This window comes from Homo sapiens, chromosome 7 (genome assembly GCF_000001405.40).
Source record: "Homo sapiens chromosome 7, GRCh38.p14 Primary Assembly".
Classification (NCBI taxonomy): Eukaryota; Metazoa; Chordata; class Mammalia; order Primates; family Hominidae; genus Homo; species Homo sapiens.
The window spans coordinates 142,852,346-142,871,170 of NC_000007.14; the positions used below are offsets into that span (position 1 = coordinate 142,852,346).

An 18,825-nucleotide genomic window follows, 5' to 3' on the forward strand; every position below is an offset into this window, starting at 1 on the left:
GAGTGAGCAAAGCCCAAGAAGGAGGCAAAAACTCAGAAAAAATGAGGCAGAACCAATCTAGGAGCCTTCCTATCTCACCTGGAGTTTTCTACTCAGCAGTTCCTTTTGGTTCCAAATTTACATAATAGATTGTTGTGTGCCAGAAATGATTAATTCTGTGAGCCATAAACTTTATTAGGTCCTGCCCATTAGCAATACTCCAGGGTTTTTTTTTTGAACAAGTCAAAAAAAAAAAATATATATATATACACACATATATATATAGAAAGAAACAGGGTCTCACTCTGTCGCCCAGGCTGGAGTGCAGTAGGACAATCTTGGCTCACTGCAACCTCCGCCTCCCGGGTTCAAGCGATTCTCCCACCTTGGCCTCCTGAGTGTCTGGGACTATAGGCATGCATCACCATGCCTGGCTAATTTTTGTATTGTTTGGTAGAGATGAGGTTTCACCATGTTGGCCAGGCTGATCTCAAACTCCTGACCTCAAGTGATCCTCTCACCTCAGCCTCCCAAAGTGCTGGGATTACAGGCATAAGCCACTGTGCCCATCCACATAGAAAAAGTTTAAATATTATTTTTTATTGATTCATTCTATAACACTTCTAAGCACCTGGAGTGTCCCAGGCACCAAACAAATTATAGCAAAAAATTTACATTAAACTTTAAAAAGGAATTCATTACTTTGCTTTTTAATAGCTGCAGGTTGCAGCATACTTTAACAATGCATTCTATGCTCTCCACCTACCATTAAAACTTGGTTTGATAAGACATAGGCAATTAGGATGCAAAGCCGACTAATCACAAATTTAAACCTCTTTGCATCCTGAGTATGACACTTCCTTTGAAAACTAGATGCCTCTCAAATTTTATTAACAAGACAAATATAACTAATTACACAAGCCTTGAGCAGCAAAAACTTCATTTCATATTATAGTCACCTAATATGAGGTATATCATGAAATAGAAAAGAAGGCAGATATTTTTACTGTTATGTCAATACAGGATACGTTGCAAATTACTACAGGAATTTCTGGGTTTTATAAAGTAACAACTACGGTTTGGTTTTGTCCATATTTTTATTTTAACATAATCTAGTTATGTGTCTTTTTTTTAAGTTTTCAATATAACCATAGATGTCTAGCAATCAGGCATGTTAATGTATGAGTTACGTAATTCCACACACAATGCAAATTCTGTTTCTTTGCAGAAGTCTTTGAAAGCCTTGGAGATAACCAGAAAATGAAGGAAGCCCTCCACCACTGAGTTTCAGGGCAAAGGGAAGAAACAAGATAAAGTAGAACCGTCAGTACAAGTGGAATTATTAATGACGTCCAAATGCAGTCATTAAATACTATCAGACTTATTTATTGACTCCTGATATTAAGAGTGAACAAACCCCTGGCCAAGTGGGAACTTGCTCGGTAGCCTTTATCTTTCTATCACTCATTCAGTCAATTCATTAAAGCCTGTTTGTCTCTCCCAGGTGACTCTTACTGAGTTTCATTGTTTTGTTTATTGTGTTTGTTGGCTCATAGATCTCTTTCACAATTTTCTTCGGCTTCTGAATGCTCTTTAAGTACCAGTTTTGATCAGCCCATTTGCTTTAATAAACAGGAGAGCAAGATGGGACAGGGCGATACAGGGAGAAAAGGGGGCAAAGGGAATCGCACCGGGTGCTTGTGCTCCCTAGAAAAACCAGCAGGTGGTAGCAACACTTCGTGGCAAGGCCCCAGCCCAGCTCTGTAGGACCCAAACAATAGACCCCAAATCCCCGTCCTCGGCTAGAGAAGGGGTTAGAGGTGGGCGGAAACACTTTTCCTCGCGGCGCCCCCTCGGTTCCTCAACCCTGCCTCCAGGCGCCAGCTGAGAGCACCTTGCACCGCCCCTCCTCACTGCAGGGAGGTTCTCTCCGGAGCGCGGGCGAGGGAGGAGGCACCCAGAGGTGCAGCGACTTGCCCAAGCCATGTCAGAGCCAGGCGTACAGCAGCGCTTCCCCTTTTCAACCCGACTGCCCTGCCCCTTGGGGAGGGTAGATGGAGGGAGGTTCGACTCAGAAGCCCCAACGTTGACCAAGATCCAGACACGAAAAGAGAAAAGAGTTCCCGGCTAGCACGGCGACGCTTTCATACCGAGACGCCCCCCTCTCCCGCTGCCTCGGCTCCCCCTACCACCGCCCGTACTCTCCCAGATTTCTCAGTTTGTCTTTCCCTCCACCCCCTGCTTTTCCTTCCTTCTCTCTTGCTCAGCTCACGCCCACCTTAGTTCCAAGCTGAGTAGGAGCCCCACTGTTTTAGTTCCTAGAGTTAAAGCCGAAGAGGAGGGAGGCGCGAGGGGGTGTGTGCAGGGCTCTGCCCTGCCCTGAACTGCCACGGTCCGCCAGTTGCGCTTCGCTCCGCGGGTGTCCGACCCAAGCCGAGCCCGAGCCCGAGCCCAGGCAGGGGCTTTACAGACAGCCTCTTCCCTTCCCACTTCCTGCAGGCGCCCCACGCGTGCGATCCTCCCGGCCAAGACCCGCGGGAGGAGGCCGCCCCCTTCCCGGCGCACAGGCGGGGCCCCGGGCGCGCCCCGCGTCTCCCCCGCGCGCCGGGGCGGAGGAGCGGGCGCCGCGCACTCACCGCCTAGGCCGGGAGGGCGGGCTCGGCTCCCCGGAAGAAGGGAGTGGGAAGGCGGCCAAAGGGGCTGAAGGGGCGGGCCGGGCCGGCTTGGGAGGGGACGCGGAGGGGGCGGGCCGGGCTGCGTTCGCTCCAGCCGCGGCTCTACAGCAGCGGGCGGCGGGACCCGGGACCCAGCTTGGCGACGGCGATCTCGACGCGGGCCCCCAGGATCTCCCGGCGCCCCACCTCTGGAGCAGCCCCTGCCGCCAGCGTCAGGTCCACCCCGGAATCCCAGGGACTCTCGGCGCCGAACGGACCCGGGCCGGGTGCAACGGGGTCCCCGGACTGGAGAAGACGCGGGTGGCACCGTGCGAGCTCCAGGAGCCCCGGGTCCACTGCGAGGCCTCGGGGGGCGCAGACCTGCAGAGACTGCGGCCAACGGGAAGGTGAGCCCGCGGGGTTAGCAGGCGGCGTTGTGGGGGTCGGGGACAGTATGCTTGGGGACAGAGGAATTAAGGTTTGCAAGAGTAGTGGGGCTCCTCAGCCCCTAGGTGGCTTCCTGAGGGAGTACTGAGGATCCTTCCTCAAGGCCAGAGTGGGGTTCATGAAGGGTGAGGAAACGGTCAACCTGGCTACTCCCCTCTCACTCCACTCTGACCTGGCATCATTGACACCGCATTACCCTTGCTGTTAGGATCCCCCAGTTGCGTTCCCAGACATTCTCCTCTGGCTCTGGCTTGGGAGTCCTAATCTGGGAGGGTCCTCGCAGAGACGGAGCTCCACGCTTGGAACAGGATTGCCACCCCTCTGACTCCAGTGGCATCACTCCAATCCCCTTGGAGCTGGGAGGAGTCAGGAGGCTGACCACACACCTGTCCCCTGCTCCCCACAAGGCACTGTCCCCCCCAGCTCCATGACCACAGTTAAGCCTTGGAGGTGGAAGGAACGCTTGGTTCCTGCTGCCCAGCCATCACCCCCAACGTGCAACCAAATTCTATTGCGTGCTCCTGCCCCAGCTCCACCCTCGCTCTGCTCCCTCCATCTGGGTGCTTGGCCCTGCTTGCCCCACACCCCCACCCACCGATCTTGGCCGTCTGGCACCCTCTCTCCTCCCATCCCTGGGGGAGCTGGCATGGACCCAGCATAGCAATGTTGTAATGTCCCTGGCAGCGCCCATGGAGCGGAGCTGCTGGGTCTGTTCCCAGTTAACCCAGGCCCTCCGCCCGCCAGGGGAACTTGACTGAGGCTCTAGGAGGGGAGATGCTGGTCCTGAGCTGAGAGACCAGTGGGAGGGAGCTGTGTGGGGCTGTTAGTAGACCACAGAAGCTGCCCAAGTAAGGGGCATTGGAGCATTGAGGCTTCTGAGTGCTGCTCAGTGGGGCCACTTGGCTTTTCAGAGCAGTGGGCCTTTTTTCTCAAAGGAAGATTAGCGTGGGGGTGTCTATGTACTTACCTGGTGGCCTCAGAAGGAGGACTTGTTTGGAGTCTATTACTCCATTCAGGGTGCAAAAAGATGGTTGGCAATGACACTGAGTTACCAGAATGCTGGGGAGCAACAGGCTGGGGTGGGCTGAGCATGGGAAAGGCAGGATCCTCCTTCTGGGACGGCTGTTCTGCTATCACTCTGTCCTGAGCCTGGGCCCTAGACCCTGAGTTCCCACTCTAGGTAGAAGGAGGATGGCAGGTTCTGGAGGGTTTGGGAAGCCTCAGGTTTCCCTTTCTTTACCCACTCCTCCCCGCCCCCCACTTGGCTCCCTCTCCCAGCCCAGGTGTTTCTGCAGAAGTACCTCCTGGGGCCAAGAGCAACTCACAGCCAGACTGGGGGTAGAGCAGGGGCCGAAGGTGAGGAAGAAGGGCCCATGGAACCACTCCGGAACCAGCACTGATGTGCATCTTCTGCCACAGGAAAGCAACAGCCCCCATCTACACAGACAGCATCTGCTCCCGCCCACCTCATCTCATACACATTCCCTTACACACTCCACCAGGTAGACACACATCCTCAGGCACTGCTGACGCAGGTGCTACTCCTGGCACTCAGGGGCTTTCTTCCACAACCTTCCACTTACTCATCTCTCAGGCACATTTGCCTCCTGCCTTAACACCCTCCCTTATGCTCTTTTCCAGAGCCACGCATGTCCCCGGTCAGTGCACAGAGTGGCTCATTCTAAGTGGCTGTCTGGCTAGACCTAGACACTGCCTGCATCTTAAAAGCCTCCCCCAGCTCCACAGCCTGGGAGTGGGAGGCACATTTGTCTGAGTCACAGTGCTCTGGGGGACATTCTCAGGGGCTGGAGGCCTCCAGGGACACAGGACTGTCCTCTGCTAGGTAATCTACAAATTGGCTTCTCCAGCCAAGGAAGCAGGGACTAGAAGAGCCGGAGGACAGCCACCTCCTCACTGTCTGTCCTGGATGCCTCCATGAAGCCTGATGATGGGATCCTTCTCAAGGCAGGAGGCCAGAGCACGAAGAGATCTCCAAGGTGGAGATTAAAGGATAGAGGCTTTGGCATTAAACTGAGCAAGGATTATACTGGAATTTCCTGGGCGTTTAACAGCTGTGGAACAGGATAGGGGACAGGGCCTGTGGTACTGACCCCTCCCACACTGACCTGTGTGGCTCACAGGTGTAAGGACCAGCCCAGCAACCACACCAGACATAAAACCTCGAACCGCTTTGCCCTTGGGACTGTTCTGTCCCTGCTGGACTCTGCAGCCTGCTTTGTCTCACTAAATTGTTCCTGTCTGGGCTCGGTTTGGGGCCATGCCCTTTACTATGTGTTCCCAGTGGACAGTCCCCTGGGTTCCCCTCTGTCCCTTCATAGCCTCATCCCTTTGCTTGACATCGTCGAAGAGAAGCATGCATGATGTCAGCAGCGGGACAGTTGGAACTTCTTGGGAGACAAGCTTAAAGACTAGCCAGAGATAACAATTATTTTGGTTTTCTTGTTGGCATTACTTCACTCATTCATTCTCAGCTCCTACTGTATTTCCACCTCTACCTTCTTCTTATAGATGAACATTTCTTGATATTTTGAAACATAGAAGGAAAATGGCATGGGGAGTGAATAAAATGTAAACGTATGCTTATTTGTCTAGGTTTTACAAATATTTTTCTTTTTTGTTTAGATTTTAATTATGAGATTTTACGTTAATTATAAAAATAAGGTATGCTTACTGTAACAAGAAAAATAATTGAATTATGTGTAAGACAAAATTAATGCCCCCACCTACAATCCTTCATTTCTACCTCCCACAGTAACCCATTTTAATGGCCTAATATGTCTTCTGCCTACCTTCCTCCAAGCTTATTTGGCTTACATTATTTAATCTTTAAAAATTCACTTTGTGGATTGAGGTGCATAAACTATATTAAGTAAGCTTGATTTGCTCATGAAAATATCATATTTAGCATTTAATTGGAGCACGATTAATTTTTTAAATTCTTACCAATTTACCAATTTAATTTACTTTTAAGTCATTCTTTTTTTTTTTTTTTTTTTTTTTTTTTTTTGAGACAGCATCTTGCTCTGTCGCCGAGGCTGGAGTGCAGTGGCACGATCTCGGCTCACTGCAAGCTCTGCCTCCCGGGTTCACGCCATTCTCCTGCCTCAGCCTCCCCAGCAGCTGGGACTACAGGCACACGCCACCACGCCCAGCTAATTTTTTTTTTTTTTTTTGTATTTTTAGTAGAAACGGGGTTTCACCGTGTTAGCCAGGACGGTCTCGATCTCCTGATCTTGTGATCCGCCCACCTTGGCCTCCCAAAGTGAAATATTTCATTTTTATAGCAACATAACTCGTAAGCTATGCTTTGTAACCTATGATTCTACAAATCTTTACTTTTTGCCAGTTTCTGAAAACAAAACACAACCTTGATACCTAAGAAACAGTCTTATTTTTGTAAACCAAAGAGATGTAGCAGGCTTGTGGATCTATTGTCTCTACTGTATCAAAAAGATATTAAGTGATATATCTATAAAAGAAGCTGAGAACATATTATAAAGTCATAGACTGCAATTTTTGTTACCTAAAACTTTGTCTAATCCGTCTCGTTTTCTCCACCATTGTTTTATGTTCACATTTCTGCTGCTTCTGGTTTTATATTTTTAAAACCTTATACACATCTGAAATGTGAATATTTTTCTAAAGGAGATAAGTTCTTTTGCACATTCTTGTGTTAGAGAATTTCTAAATACTGACCAGTTCCTTTTGTAAGTCAGAGGAGAGAGGACTCTCAAGCAGGCTGTGAGAGAGGAGCAAGGGGCCTGGCTTTGCAGAGGCTGCTTCCCATCTCTGTGGCAGGAGAAATGTACTGGCCTGTCCCTGGGATGCTCTCCTGGACCAAATGCAGAAGATGCTCCATGCCCACAACCATTGAAGACACCTTTGAAAAATCAAGTTCTGAGTCCTGCTTACTTAGCATTCCAGGCATGTGGAGCAGCCGTGTTCTTGTCACTTATGTTTCTGCCTTTGAAATTGGCTTCAAAAGAATCTGCAGTGGTATGAATTTGCTGACAGCAATTTATTCCATATCTTAATAAAGCTTCCTTTTTCTTTATTTGGATTCCTGCAACAGGGGTACACCCATATTCTTTTTATATATTAAAATTAAAAGTCTTGAATTTATCTGGTTTGTTTGATAAGTAAGAACTCACCTAACTTCCTAGTCTGACTCAGCAACAATTTTTTTTTTCTGAAAAAATGTATTTATAACCTTCAGTCATCTGGATCTGAATCTAAAAGAGGTCCTCATCAAACATTAGAAGTATCCTTCTGGGTACTTTAAGATCCTCAACCATTTCTTTTTAATGAATATCTTTGTTCTTAGTAAAATTTCAAAAAATTGCTGAAGTGGTCATCCACAGGCAGTGTCTCCATTTTCTTCTTTTCTTTATGCTGTTTCTTGATGGCAGAAGCTGAGTGGCCTTAACATCCATGTTTCATAATTGCTTTTGCTCTTTTCTGGATCTTCTGGAGGGAGGCCAGCTTCGTGTTGTCATTACGAGGCATGCTAAGGCTATGCAAGCACGCCCTATTGCAACCACAAGTGACTGTGTTCCTTGTAGTTCGGGTCATCAAAGCAAATATCTTGCTATTCATCTTCCAGAGTGTTCCATATTGGACAGCTGATACTATCTGCAGCGCATCTTTTCTATCTTGCTTGGCTGTCTTTCAAAATAATTCATTGAAATATTTCCAAAATATTTATTGTTCCTTCTTCATGATTATTTGCCTAGTTGTAAGCTTGAGAAGACACAGGGCTTACTGTTTCTTCTTTGTACAGATTACAGAATCCATCCATGTTCTGAGTGAAAGAAAGAGACTATTTTAAAGAATAACTTCTAGGCAAATGGTAAAATAGCCTTCATTGTTTAAAAACCTGCTGCTGGCATTTTCTTTCCCTGATAACAGTATTTCTAAGGACTCCGTGACTCTGGTTTGCTTCAGTGTGTCAAGCACGTCTCCAAATTAAGCCATTGAGAGTTTGGAGGGGATGCACTTACAACATGAATTACTTTAGGATATTTATTAAACAGCCACTGGTGACGGTGCCAAGGTTACAGAATTTAATAGCTATGCCTGCTTTTTACTTCATGATCTCCCCGTTCCTCTCCAAAGCATTTATTTCATCTGTGAAGGATCCTAGTAACATTTCAGACATTTTTGCAAAGAACATTACTTAAGAGCAATTTGCCATATGGAAATGCTCCTTACTTGTCTCCATAGGCTGTAAATTGAACTCTCTATTTCACAAATAGGGTTAAAGATGTATAAAAGGTGAGTTTCAGGGGCTAGTTGGCAGGTGCCCACTCTACATCAGCCCACGCGTATGTAGAAATGGTGTATTTCCATGATAACTTCATGGACAGCACAGCCCGCAGTGCCAGAAAAAAATTAGTAGGAATCAAATTATGATTTTCATATTTGTTGCAATTAAAGTTTCATAGTTTGATTTTTGTTTTATGATAGCTTTCAACAATCCCAAGGCCATATATATCCAGGAAAAACAAATCACAACTTCTCTTCTAATTGGCTTTTTTTTTGTTTTCCTCTCAGTTCTATGTCTTTTGAGCAATCTGGGCAACATGTCTCTTTTTTTTCTTCACAGAAATAAAGGGATTATAGTCCACCCAATTCACAGACTTCTGAGACTCAGACACGAGGAGAGATAGAGAACCGCCAATCTCTAAATCAACAAGCAAAGGAGGTGCCAAGCCTGTTTGTCTTCATTGTGACACTGGAGGTAGCTATTCCTTCTGTTCATTTGCTCGTGAGCTTAGTGGTGTACCTTCTGAAGGCACAGGAAGGTTTTATATAAGAGGTAGCTTACTACATAGTTCTGAGAAGCCATTATGAGGATATGAACACTGTTTTGATTAACTTTACTAAACAGTTATTATCCTATAGTTTTAAAGAAAATTTTAATCAATGATTTAGTTGAAAGAATACACATGCAAGAGTTTAAGAATGCAAAAATTTAAATGGATACAATTAATGAGAATACAATGAAAGTTAAGTCTCCCTTGCACTGGGTCTCAGTCCACTTCCTTTGCCTTTTTCACAGGTTTTGGATGCTCTTCCATAGATATCCTTCCATACATATGTATGTGTATATATCCTTCTTAACAAAGGGGAGCTTACTTTACACTGTTCTCCATTGTCCCACTTTCACTTGGAAATGCTTTTTATATCAGTGCATCAACAGTTGCCCGTATTTCTTTCTAAGGATGTACTATAATTTTACTGTCTTCCAATTGATGGACAGTTAGTTTACAGCCTTTTCTCTTATAAACAATTTGCAATTAATGTCTTTGTTCAAACATCTGTGCAAACCCATACAAGTATACAGTACCTGAAGGACACATTCTTACAATGTAGTTGCTGGAAAGATATTACCCAATTGTCCTCCCAAGAGAATATTCCAATTTGGATTCAAGCAGAGTATGTACAAGAGAACCTATTTCCCATATCTTGTCCAACATGGTAAAAATGGTGTCTTAGGCAACTGTGGCTGCCATAACAAAGTGCAATAGACCTAGTAGCTTATACACAATAGAAATATCTTTCTCACAGTCTAGATGCTGGGAAGTCCAAGATCAGGGTGCCGGCATGGTCAGTTCCTGGCGAAGCCTCTCTTCTAGGTTTCAGACTGCCCTCTTCTTTGTTGTGTCCTCGAATGGCAGAAAAAGGGTGAGAAAGCCCTTTGGGGTCTCTTTCATCTGGGCACTAATCTCATGATTAGTGAGGGCTCCACCCTCATGACCTAAAATTTCCTCCCAAAGGCCCCATCTTCTAATACCATCATCTTGGGAGTTAGGATTTCAACATATGAATGGAGGGGGGGCACAAATATTCCTTCTATAACAAATGGCCTGTTGCTGTAGTTTTAACCTGGTTTCCTTTCAATGTGAGCAAACAAGAAGCATCTTTTCATATGTTAAAGCCATAGGGTTATTCTTCTGTAAGCTCTAGGAAAACATGCACCCCTTGGGGCACGAGGATCTTTGTTCACAAAGTGTATGCCAGACCTCCATAGCTCTGCCCCCTCCCTGCACTGTCTCATTTATCAGACTGAATCTTCATGCCTGTGTTCTTTCTGTATTTATTCTGGTCCCTTCCCTCCCATCATACCCCACAGCCATCTTCCTGTGTCCCTCCCGCTTCACTGCTTCACTGCCCCTCTGAAATTTCTAGAGCATCCAGGTCCATCGGGGGTGGGGCGGTGTGGTGAGGATTCAATTCATGTGTCTGTAGGATGCAGCAGCTTCTTAACCAGCTGCCTTTAATGAAAATCTTCTAACTTCCAATACAGGGTGGCTGTTGGAGGAAGGGAGGAGAGTAAATGAAGAGAAAGAACTGGAATAACCCCTTGCAGAAAAAAAAAAAAAGGGTAAGATTGACCCAGAAACACCCTCTGCCCCACTTCTAGGAAGGAGAGCTGTGAGAAATGAACACAGAGACAGGGTCACACAGGGAGTAGGCACGAACACTCCAAGATGGTCAAATGTGCACCGGCTCAGGAGAGGCAGTATGCAACCTGGCTTCTGTCCCATGGTGGGTGCTGGGGCGATTGGAGAGCTGTAGGAGGAGACACAGACACGGGGTCAGCTTTTGGAGCTTGGGCTGTATATGAAGAAACACTTTCTTCCCACCTGCCTCTTCTGGTCTTGTGTGTCTCCTCAGGAAGCAAGCTTAGCTGTACACCCTGAGTCTTGCAAAAGCTGCAGCCCCACCCAGGAGCAGGGTGGTGGCTGGGGCGATGGTGGACGCCCTGAAGATGTCCCATGGCTACTGAAGGGGCTGCCCAGTTAGGGAACAGAGTGGCGGGCATGGTGTGTAGCCTATGGGTGCTGCTCCTGGTGTCTTCAGTTCTGGCTCTGGAAGGTAAGAGGGAGGGGAGACAGGAGAACCCAGACCTGCCATAGAGACCCAGTGAAAGGGGGAAGTGGGAAAGATTTAGAAAAGGTAGATAAGAGTGAAGACATCAATAAAGGGAAAGGCATGGTGAGGATAATGAAGACCCACATCAGATTTGTCAGAGAAAGGACCCTGATGGACAGCTGTGCTCCTGCTGGCAAAGACATGGGCCCGGGTGGGGCATTCTTTTGTTCGCGGTGGGAATAGAGTAGGGGCTGGCAGTGCTGGCTGGAGGCTTGGCCACTGTGTGCCCCTCTTATTTCTGGGCAGAGGTATTGCTGGACACCACCGGAGAGACATCTGAGATTGGCTGGCTCACCTACCCACCAGGGGGGGTGAGTGCCACTCTAATTCTGAACCTGAATCCCTTGGCCCTGCCCCTCCCTGTTCCCTGGAGAGTGGAATTCATGAAGGAAACCCTGGGTGAGGATTATGGGAAAAGGATCCCTCCCTCTAGAGCACCAAGATTTCAAGGTATCCTCTATCTGCTTTGCTTGTCATTAATTTTAAGTCTCAGTGGAAGAGATATGTCCCCTTCCCTATAACCTCTACCTCGCCGTGCTTAAGCCCGGAGCCCCTAAAGCTTCTCCTGGCCCTTCCTGCAGTGGGACGAGGTGAGTGTTCTGGACGACCAGCGACGCCTGACTCGGACCTTTGAGGCATGTCATGTGGCAGGGGCCCCTCCAGGCACCGGGCAGGACAATTGGTTGCAGACACACTTTGTGGAGCGGCGCGGGGCCCAGAGGGCGCACATTCGACTCCACTTCTCTGTGCGGGCATGCTCCAGCCTGGGTGTGAGCGGCGGCACCTGCCGGGAGACCTTCACCCTTTACTACCGTCAGGCTGAGGAGCCCGACAGCCCTGACAGCGTTTCCTCCTGGCACCTCAAACGCTGGACCAAGGTGGACACAATTGCAGCAGACGAGAGCTTTCCCTCCTCCTCCTCCTCCTCCTCCTCCTCTTCTTCCTCTGCAGCGTGGGCTGTGGGACCCCACGGGGCTGGGCAGCGGGCTGGACTGCAACTGAACGTCAAAGAGCGGAGCTTTGGGCCTCTCACCCAACGCGGCTTCTACGTGGCCTTCCAGGACACGGGGGCCTGCCTGGCCCTGGTCGCTGTCAGGCTCTTCTCCTACACCTGCCCTGCCGTGCTCCGATCCTTTGCTTCCTTTCCAGAGACGCAGGCCAGTGGGGCTGGGGGGGCCTCCCTGGTGGCAGCTGTGGGCACCTGTGTGGCTCATGCAGAGCCAGAGGAGGATGGAGTAGGGGGCCAGGCAGGAGGCAGCCCCCCCAGGCTGCACTGCAACGGGGAGGGCAAGTGGATGGTAGCTGTCGGGGGCTGCCGCTGCCAGCCTGGATACCAACCAGCACGAGGAGACAAGGCCTGCCAAGGTGAGAGCCCACTCGTCTTGCACTTGCCCGACACCTCCCACCCACCCCCAGCCTTTGGGCTCCTCTCTGAACACCCCAAAATTCATTTTATCTGCAAAAGGTCAGGAATAAGCCATCTTAGGAAAGGACCCTGATTTTCCCTAATTTTATTTCTTAAAGCACTCAAACTTACTATCACCCACTCATCTGAAATTTCTGGAATCTTCTGGAGCCTTTCACAGCAATTGCCTTCTCCTAAGTCTTCAGGCCTGAGAAGCGATGGAGACCAAAAGGAGTTTAGCTCCAGCTCCAGGGTTACTATGGAATAGAGTCCTTTGGTTCCCATTCGCCCTTCTGTTGGGAGGGTCCCTGCCTCGCTGGGCCAGGTGACAGGGACGCAGGTAGAGGAAGGCAGTGGATGGCAGCTAGGGAGAATGACTGCAGCAGCAGGCCTCCGCAGAGGGAGCTTATGCAATAAGCTGGGAACACCCACATCTGGCACTGGGCCTGTCTGTAACCCCCACTGCACCTCACTTTCTCCATCCATGGAAATGCAATTCTGTCCCAGCAATTGGCAGAAGAAATCTCTGCCTGAGGGAAGAGAGGGTGGGGTTCAGTCTTGGAAGAAAAGGAGAACCAGCTCTGGGGAAGAGAAGGCTGCGAGGATACCTGCCTGCTGTGTGTTGGGAGCTCAGGGTGGGTGGACAGAGCGAGTGTGACGCCCCCACTCTCCTCTGCCTCCTCAGCCTGCCCACGGGGGCTCTATAAGGCTTCTGCTGGGAATGCTCCCTGCTCACCATGCCCTGCCCGCAGTCACGCTCCCAACCCAGCAGCCCCCGTTTGCCCCTGCCTGGAGGGCTTCTACCGGGCCAGTTCCGACCCACCAGAGGCCCCCTGCACTGGTGAGTTCCTCACCCAGCCCTGCAATGGGAAAGAGACTTGGAGAGGGGCCAGAAGTGGGGGTAGCAGGCAACACTGGGGGCTCTTTGCATTTGGAGTGACTTGTTTTTCCCCTATTTTCTTGGCTTCCTCCCCTCCCTGTCCCCACCCCCTTCTCTCCCTGACCCATCCTTCCCTGGGCCCACATCCTGCCTCTCTGGGCTACCCCCACCCCACGCTCTTCTGTCTCCTTCCCTCTCGGCCACCCACCCTCCCCTGGCTCCTTCCTTCCTCAATCACCCCCACTGCTGCCCTCTTGGCCCTTGGACTGCCATATCCTCCGGCCCCCCAGGTCCTCCATCGGCTCCCCAGGAGCTTTGGTTTGAGGTGCAAGGCTCAGCACTCATGCTACACTGGCGCCTGCCTCGGGAGCTGGGGGGTCGAGGGGACCTGCTCTTCAATGTCGTGTGCAAGGAGTGTGAAGGCCGCCAGGAACCTGCCAGCGGTGGTGGGGGCACTTGTCACCGCTGCAGGGATGAGGTCCACTTCGACCCTCGCCAGAGAGGCCTGACTGAGAGCCGAGTGTTAGTGGGGGGACTCCGGGCACACGTACCCTACATCTTAGAGGTGCAGGCTGTTAATGGGGTGTCTGAGCTCAGCCCTGACCCTCCTCAGGCTGCAGCCATCAATGTCAGCACCAGCCATGAAGGTGAGCTCTTTTCCTTGGCCTTCAGGATCCCCTGCCTCCGCTCCTTTGAGCCCCCTTCCCTACTCCTGATCTCCAGCCTGGTCCACCCCTGCCGCCCTCCCCTCAAGGCTGATCCTGCTCCCAGGGACTCCTATCCCCATAATAATTTTCCTTTTGCACTCTAGTGCCCTCTGCTGTCCCTGTGGTGCACCAGGTGAGCCGGGCATCCAACAGCATCACGGTGTCCTGGCCGCAGCCCGACCAGACCAATGGGAACATCCTGGACTATCAGCTCCGCTACTATGACCAGGTGCGCAGGAGGAGTGGGGGTTCCGCAGTAGGGCTGGTAGGAGCTCATAGGCCTCACAGTGGGGCCCAGAGGTGACCAGGTGCACAGGAGGAATGAGGGGTCCGCAACAGGGCTGGCAGGAGCTCACAGTCCCCACAGTAGGGGCCAGAGGCTGAATGGGCAAGGAGAGGTGCCCAGAAGTGTGCAGCACTGGGCATGTGTCTGAGAGCCCTGTCAACCAGGGAGGGTGGCTGGGGGCCTTAGGGGCAGAAGCAGGGGCAAGAGGGGGCCAGGCAGGGAGTGAGTGGCTGTTACCCCCAGGCAGAAGACGAATCCCACTCCTTCACCCTGACCAGCGAGACCAACACTGCCACCGTGACACAGCTGAGCCCTGGCCACATCTATGGTTTCCAGGTGCGGGCCCGGACTGCTGCCGGCCACGGCCCCTACGGGGGCAAAGTCTATTTCCAGACACTTCCTCAAGGTGAGCGGGGGTCAAGGGCCAGATGGGCAGGTGAAGGCCCAAGTGGGTAGTGAGGAGAGGCCCAGGGACTGTCCGGCCTTGAACCCTGGCCCCGTGCTTCCCAACCAGAAGTTCTGTGGGAAAGGAGAGTGCCTTTTGCTCAGCAGCTGACCTAGGGGCTACTCGGGGAGGTGGGGAATTGTAGGGGTATGTATGCATGTTGAGTGTGGATATAGGAGGGCTGTGGGGATGTGTGTGTGTGTTGTGTGTCCCTGGGTGTGGATGTGGGAGGGCTGTGGGCGTGTGTGTGTGTTGTGTGTCCCTGTGTGTGGATGTGGAGGGCTGTGGGGATGTGTGTGTGTGTTGTGTGTCCCTGTGTGTGGATGTGGGAGGGCTGTGGGCGTGTGTGTGTGTTGTGTGTCCCTGTGCATGGATGTGGGAGGTTTGGGGCATGCGCGTGCATGTTGTGTGTGCCTGTGGTGTGTGTGGGTGCCTGGGCACATGAACAAGCACCTGTGAGAGACCTGGCCCACCTGTGACCCTGTCGGCTGGTCCCCCAGGGGAGCTGTCTTCCCAGCTTCCAGAAAGACTCTCCTTGGTGATCGGCTCCATCCTGGGGGCTTTGGCCTTCCTCCTGCTGGCAGCCATCACCGTGCTGGCGGTCGTCTTCCAGCGGTGAGTCCCCACCCCTGCCCAACTCTGCCCAGCACCATTAACTCCACAGCCAAACCTCAAGTCCTGCCAAGTCTGGAGCCCCCTGCAGAAACCTCACACTGGTGCTCCTCCCGTCAGCCAGCCCCTGCCCTGGGCCCCACGTGGAGATGGGCAGGAGGGCCAGGCTGTCGTCCCCCCTCCACAGACCGACTAAAGAGCAGTCTGGAGGGTGACAAGGGGGCAGCAAGGGGGTGGAAATGGGAGCGTCATCCCCAGTCACCGTTTTGTTCCTCAGGAAGCGGCGTGGGACTGGCTACACAGAGCAGCTGCAGCAATACAGCAGCCCAGGTGGGGATGAGGAGAGGAAATGGGTGGGGCTGGGGAACACATGGGTGGGGCACATGGCAGGCAAGGCTGGATCCCCCCAAGATTGGGGGAGCTCCTTGGCACAACCTTCTGGAGGTAAGTGGGCATGTCTGGGGTGCGCGGGCAGCCCTGCCTTTCACAACACGCTCATAACATACTCCACACCCCTCCAGGACTCGGGGTGAAGTATTACATCGACCCCTCCACCTACGAGGACCCCTGTCAGGCCATCCGAGAACTTGCCCGGGAAGTCGATCCTGCTTATATCAAGATTGAGGAGGTCATTGGGACAGGTACAGCAGGGCCAAAGCAGGGATCAGAGCGACGGGGCTCCCTTGTGGCCTCCGCTGGCCAGAGTCCCATCCAAACACAGCAGGACGCTGTGAGCCTTGATCCCCACCCCAACCTACACCTATTTTCCCAGGCTCTTTTGGAGAAGTGCGCCAGGGCCGCCTGCAGCCACGGGGACGGAGGGAGCAGACTGTGGCCATCCAGGCCCTGTGGGCCGGGGGCGCCGAAAGCCTGCAGATGACCTTCCTGGGCCGGGCCGCAGTGCTGGGTCAGTTCCAGCACCCCAACATCCTGCGGCTGGAGGGCGTGGTCACCAAGAGCCGACCCCTCATGGTGCTGACGGAGTTCATGGAGCTTGGCCCCCTGGACAGCTTCCTCAGGGTCAGTCCAGCCTGGGTGAAGGAGGAGGGTCCTTGGGTCCAGGAAAGCTTCCAGGAGACGAGGTCCTGTATCTTTGCTTCTTACCACCCCACCTTCCATGGTCTCCGTCCTTCCTTCCCAGCCATTTTCTGATTCGACACCCTCCCGCTCTCATGCTGTTGTCTGCTATGCAGTATGTTGAGGTCTCCCCCTGTCTCCGATCACTGACCTCTGCCCCCTGCCCCTTCCCCTCAGCAGCGGGAGGGCCAGTTCAGCAGCCTGCAGCTGGTGGCCATGCAGCGGGGAGTGGCTGCTGCCATGCAGTACCTGTCCAGCTTTGCCTTCGTCCATCGCTCGCTGTCTGCCCACAGCGTGCTGGTGAATAGCCACTTGGTGTGCAAGGTGGCCCGTCTTGGCCACAGTCCTCAGGTGAGAGCACAGCCTTGGGGACACAGCCTGGGGCCTTGTGGCATGCCCCAGCAGGTGCTGGGGTCGGGGGTGAGCTGGAATCTGGGGTAGGTACCTCAGCCGGGGTGTCATAGTCCCTGAAAGGAGGGAGGCTCTCCTGTGTGATGGGGAGATGAAAGCCTAGGCGACGGGGTTTGAGGGATTTCAGGGACCGAGACAAAGGGGATGAGGGAGGGGAGGAGACCTGCAACAATCTAGAACTACCTCCTGCCCTTCCCCCATTGTGGAGATTACACAGACTCCAGAGTCAGCACAGCTGGGTACAAATTCTTAACACTCTGCTCTCCAGCTCTGTGACCTTGGACAAGTTCACTTTCTCTAAGCTTCACCTTCTGCTTCTGTGAAATGGAGATAATATCATCCACCTTGGAGGGTTGTTATGAGGATTAAATGAGATGCTTGATGTAAAACCCTTAACATATCTGAGCACATAGTAGTTGCTCCATAAACGTGACTATTGCTTCTGCTTCTGTGAAATGGAGATGATATCATCCACCTTAGAGGGTTGTTATGAGGATTAAATGAGATGCTTGATGTAAAACCCTTGGCATATCTGAGCACATAGTAGTTGCTCAATAAACGTGACTATTACTATGATTATTACTATTTGCTTTTGACTTTACCCCTCAGGGCCCAAGTTGTTTGCTTCGCTGGGCAGCCCCAGAGGTCATTGCACATGGAAAGCATACAACATCCAGTGATGTCTGGAGCTTTGGGATACTCATGTGGGAAGTGATGAGTTATGGAGAACGGCCTTACTGGGACATGAGTGAGCAGGAGGTGAGCACTGACCTAGACACTGCTGATTTCCCACCCCGATCCCTCCCAGGTTGGAACATTCTAGGACCTCCATTCTCTACTCCGTTTGTATTCTAAGATCTCATGGCTGTTGGATTGCCATATCTTTGAGTTCCTTCTCCACTCCAACCTCATGCTCCACCAGATTCCAGCCCACCCTCTTACCCAACAAAGTACTCCCCTCTACTAACAAAACTTCCCATCGTCATAGTCTTCCTCTGACCCCCAGGTACTAAATGCAATAGAGCAGGAGTTCCGGCTGCCCCCGCCTCCAGGCTGTCCTCCTGGATTACATCTACTTATGTTGGACACTTGGCAGAAGGACCGTGCCCGGCGGCCTCATTTTGACCAGCTGGTGGCTGCATTTGACAAGATGATCCGCAAGCCAGATACCCTGCAGGCTGGCGGGGACCCAGGGGAAAGGTCTGGAGCTTGGGGCTAGAGCCTGGGAAAGCCAGGGAGGGTAGATGCAAACCTAAAGAAAACTGAGGAGAGGGGCTAAGATGAAGAGGAGACCTTGACCCTGCTTGCCCCTCCCCTCTTAGGCCTTCCCAGGCCCTTCTGACCCCTGTGGCCCTGGACTTTCCTTGTCTGGACTCACCCCAGGCCTGGCTTTCAGCCATTGGACTGGAGTGCTACCAGGACAACTTCTCCAAGTTTGGCCTCTGTACCTTCAGTGATGTGGCTCAGCTCAGCCTAGAGTAAGCAGGGAGTGGTGGGGTGGGGGCGAATGCTCCAGGCCCCTGGCTGGGGGTCGTATTGGGGATCTCGGAGAAGCTGGCCCAGATTTGATCCCTTCCCTCCCCACCAGAGACCTGCCTGCCCTGGGCATCACCCTGGCTGGCCACCAGAAGAAGCTGCTGCACCACATCCAGCTCCTTCAGCAACACCTGAGGCAGCAGGGCTCAGTGGAGGTCTGAGAATGACGATACCCGTGACTCAGCCCTGGACACTGGTCCGAGAAGGGACATGTGGGACGTGAGCCGGGCTCCAACAGCCTCTGTGAGAGATGCCCCACACCAAACCCAACCCTCCCGATGGCTGCATTCCCTGGTCCTCCGCCTCTCCACCAGCCCCCTCCTCATTAAAGGGAAAGAAGGGAATTTGCAGGTTTGGTGTGGTGAGGCCTCAGTCTGCAACAAAGGGTGAGGGAGGCCTCAACGTAGGAGCAGAGGGGTGGGGCCGG

General features: G+C 51.9%; 1 protein-coding gene across 11 annotated transcripts, besides 2 other annotated features; it reads left to right on the forward strand.

Moving 5' to 3' along the window:
• The first annotated feature begins 2,730 nt into the window (after nucleotides 1-2,730).
• On the forward strand, nucleotides 2,731-18,748 carry EPHB6 (EPH receptor B6). 11 transcript variants are annotated; one of them, XM_011515879.2, is made up of 21 exons: nucleotides 2,731-3,040; nucleotides 8,707-8,841; nucleotides 9,163-9,201; nucleotides 9,672-9,788; nucleotides 10,411-10,488; nucleotides 10,782-10,982; nucleotides 11,286-11,350; nucleotides 11,621-12,404; nucleotides 13,130-13,285; nucleotides 13,615-13,971; nucleotides 14,136-14,260; nucleotides 14,561-14,723; nucleotides 15,263-15,377; nucleotides 15,652-15,704; nucleotides 15,896-16,015; nucleotides 16,147-16,394; nucleotides 16,629-16,802; nucleotides 17,472-17,621; nucleotides 17,869-18,062; nucleotides 18,185-18,340; nucleotides 18,451-18,748. In XM_011515879.2, the coding sequence occupies exons 6-21, from the start codon at nucleotides 10,883-10,885 to the stop codon at nucleotides 18,557-18,559; spliced, it is 3,069 nt and encodes a 1,022-aa protein (XP_011514181.1). In that variant the 5' UTR covers nucleotides 2,731-3,040; nucleotides 8,707-8,841; nucleotides 9,163-9,201; nucleotides 9,672-9,788; nucleotides 10,411-10,488; nucleotides 10,782-10,882; the 3' UTR covers nucleotides 18,560-18,748. The 11 variants fall into 11 exon arrangements, 10 of the variants coding, with proteins under 10 accessions (XP_011514181.1, XP_047275939.1, XP_047275940.1 ...); XM_047419983.1 differs by having other exon boundaries at nucleotides 16,632-16,802; XM_047419984.1 differs by having other exon boundaries at nucleotides 14,654-14,723.
• Nucleotides 14,081-14,614: an enhancer, noted in NCBI's record as "H3K4me1 hESC enhancer chr7:142564181-142564714 (GRCh37/hg19 assembly coordinates)". NCBI's record gives its function as "activates a minimal SCP1, AML or CMV promoter by ChIP-STARR-seq in naive H9 embryonic stem cells {active_cell/tissue: H9 hESC(naive)}" and the evidence as "EXISTENCE:reporter gene assay evidence [ECO:0000049][PMID:30033119]".
• Nucleotides 14,889-15,824: an enhancer, noted in NCBI's record as "H3K4me1 hESC enhancer chr7:142564989-142565924 (GRCh37/hg19 assembly coordinates)". NCBI's record gives its function as "activates a minimal SCP1, AML or CMV promoter by ChIP-STARR-seq in primed H9 embryonic stem cells {active_cell/tissue: H9 hESC(primed)}" and the evidence as "EXISTENCE:reporter gene assay evidence [ECO:0000049][PMID:30033119]".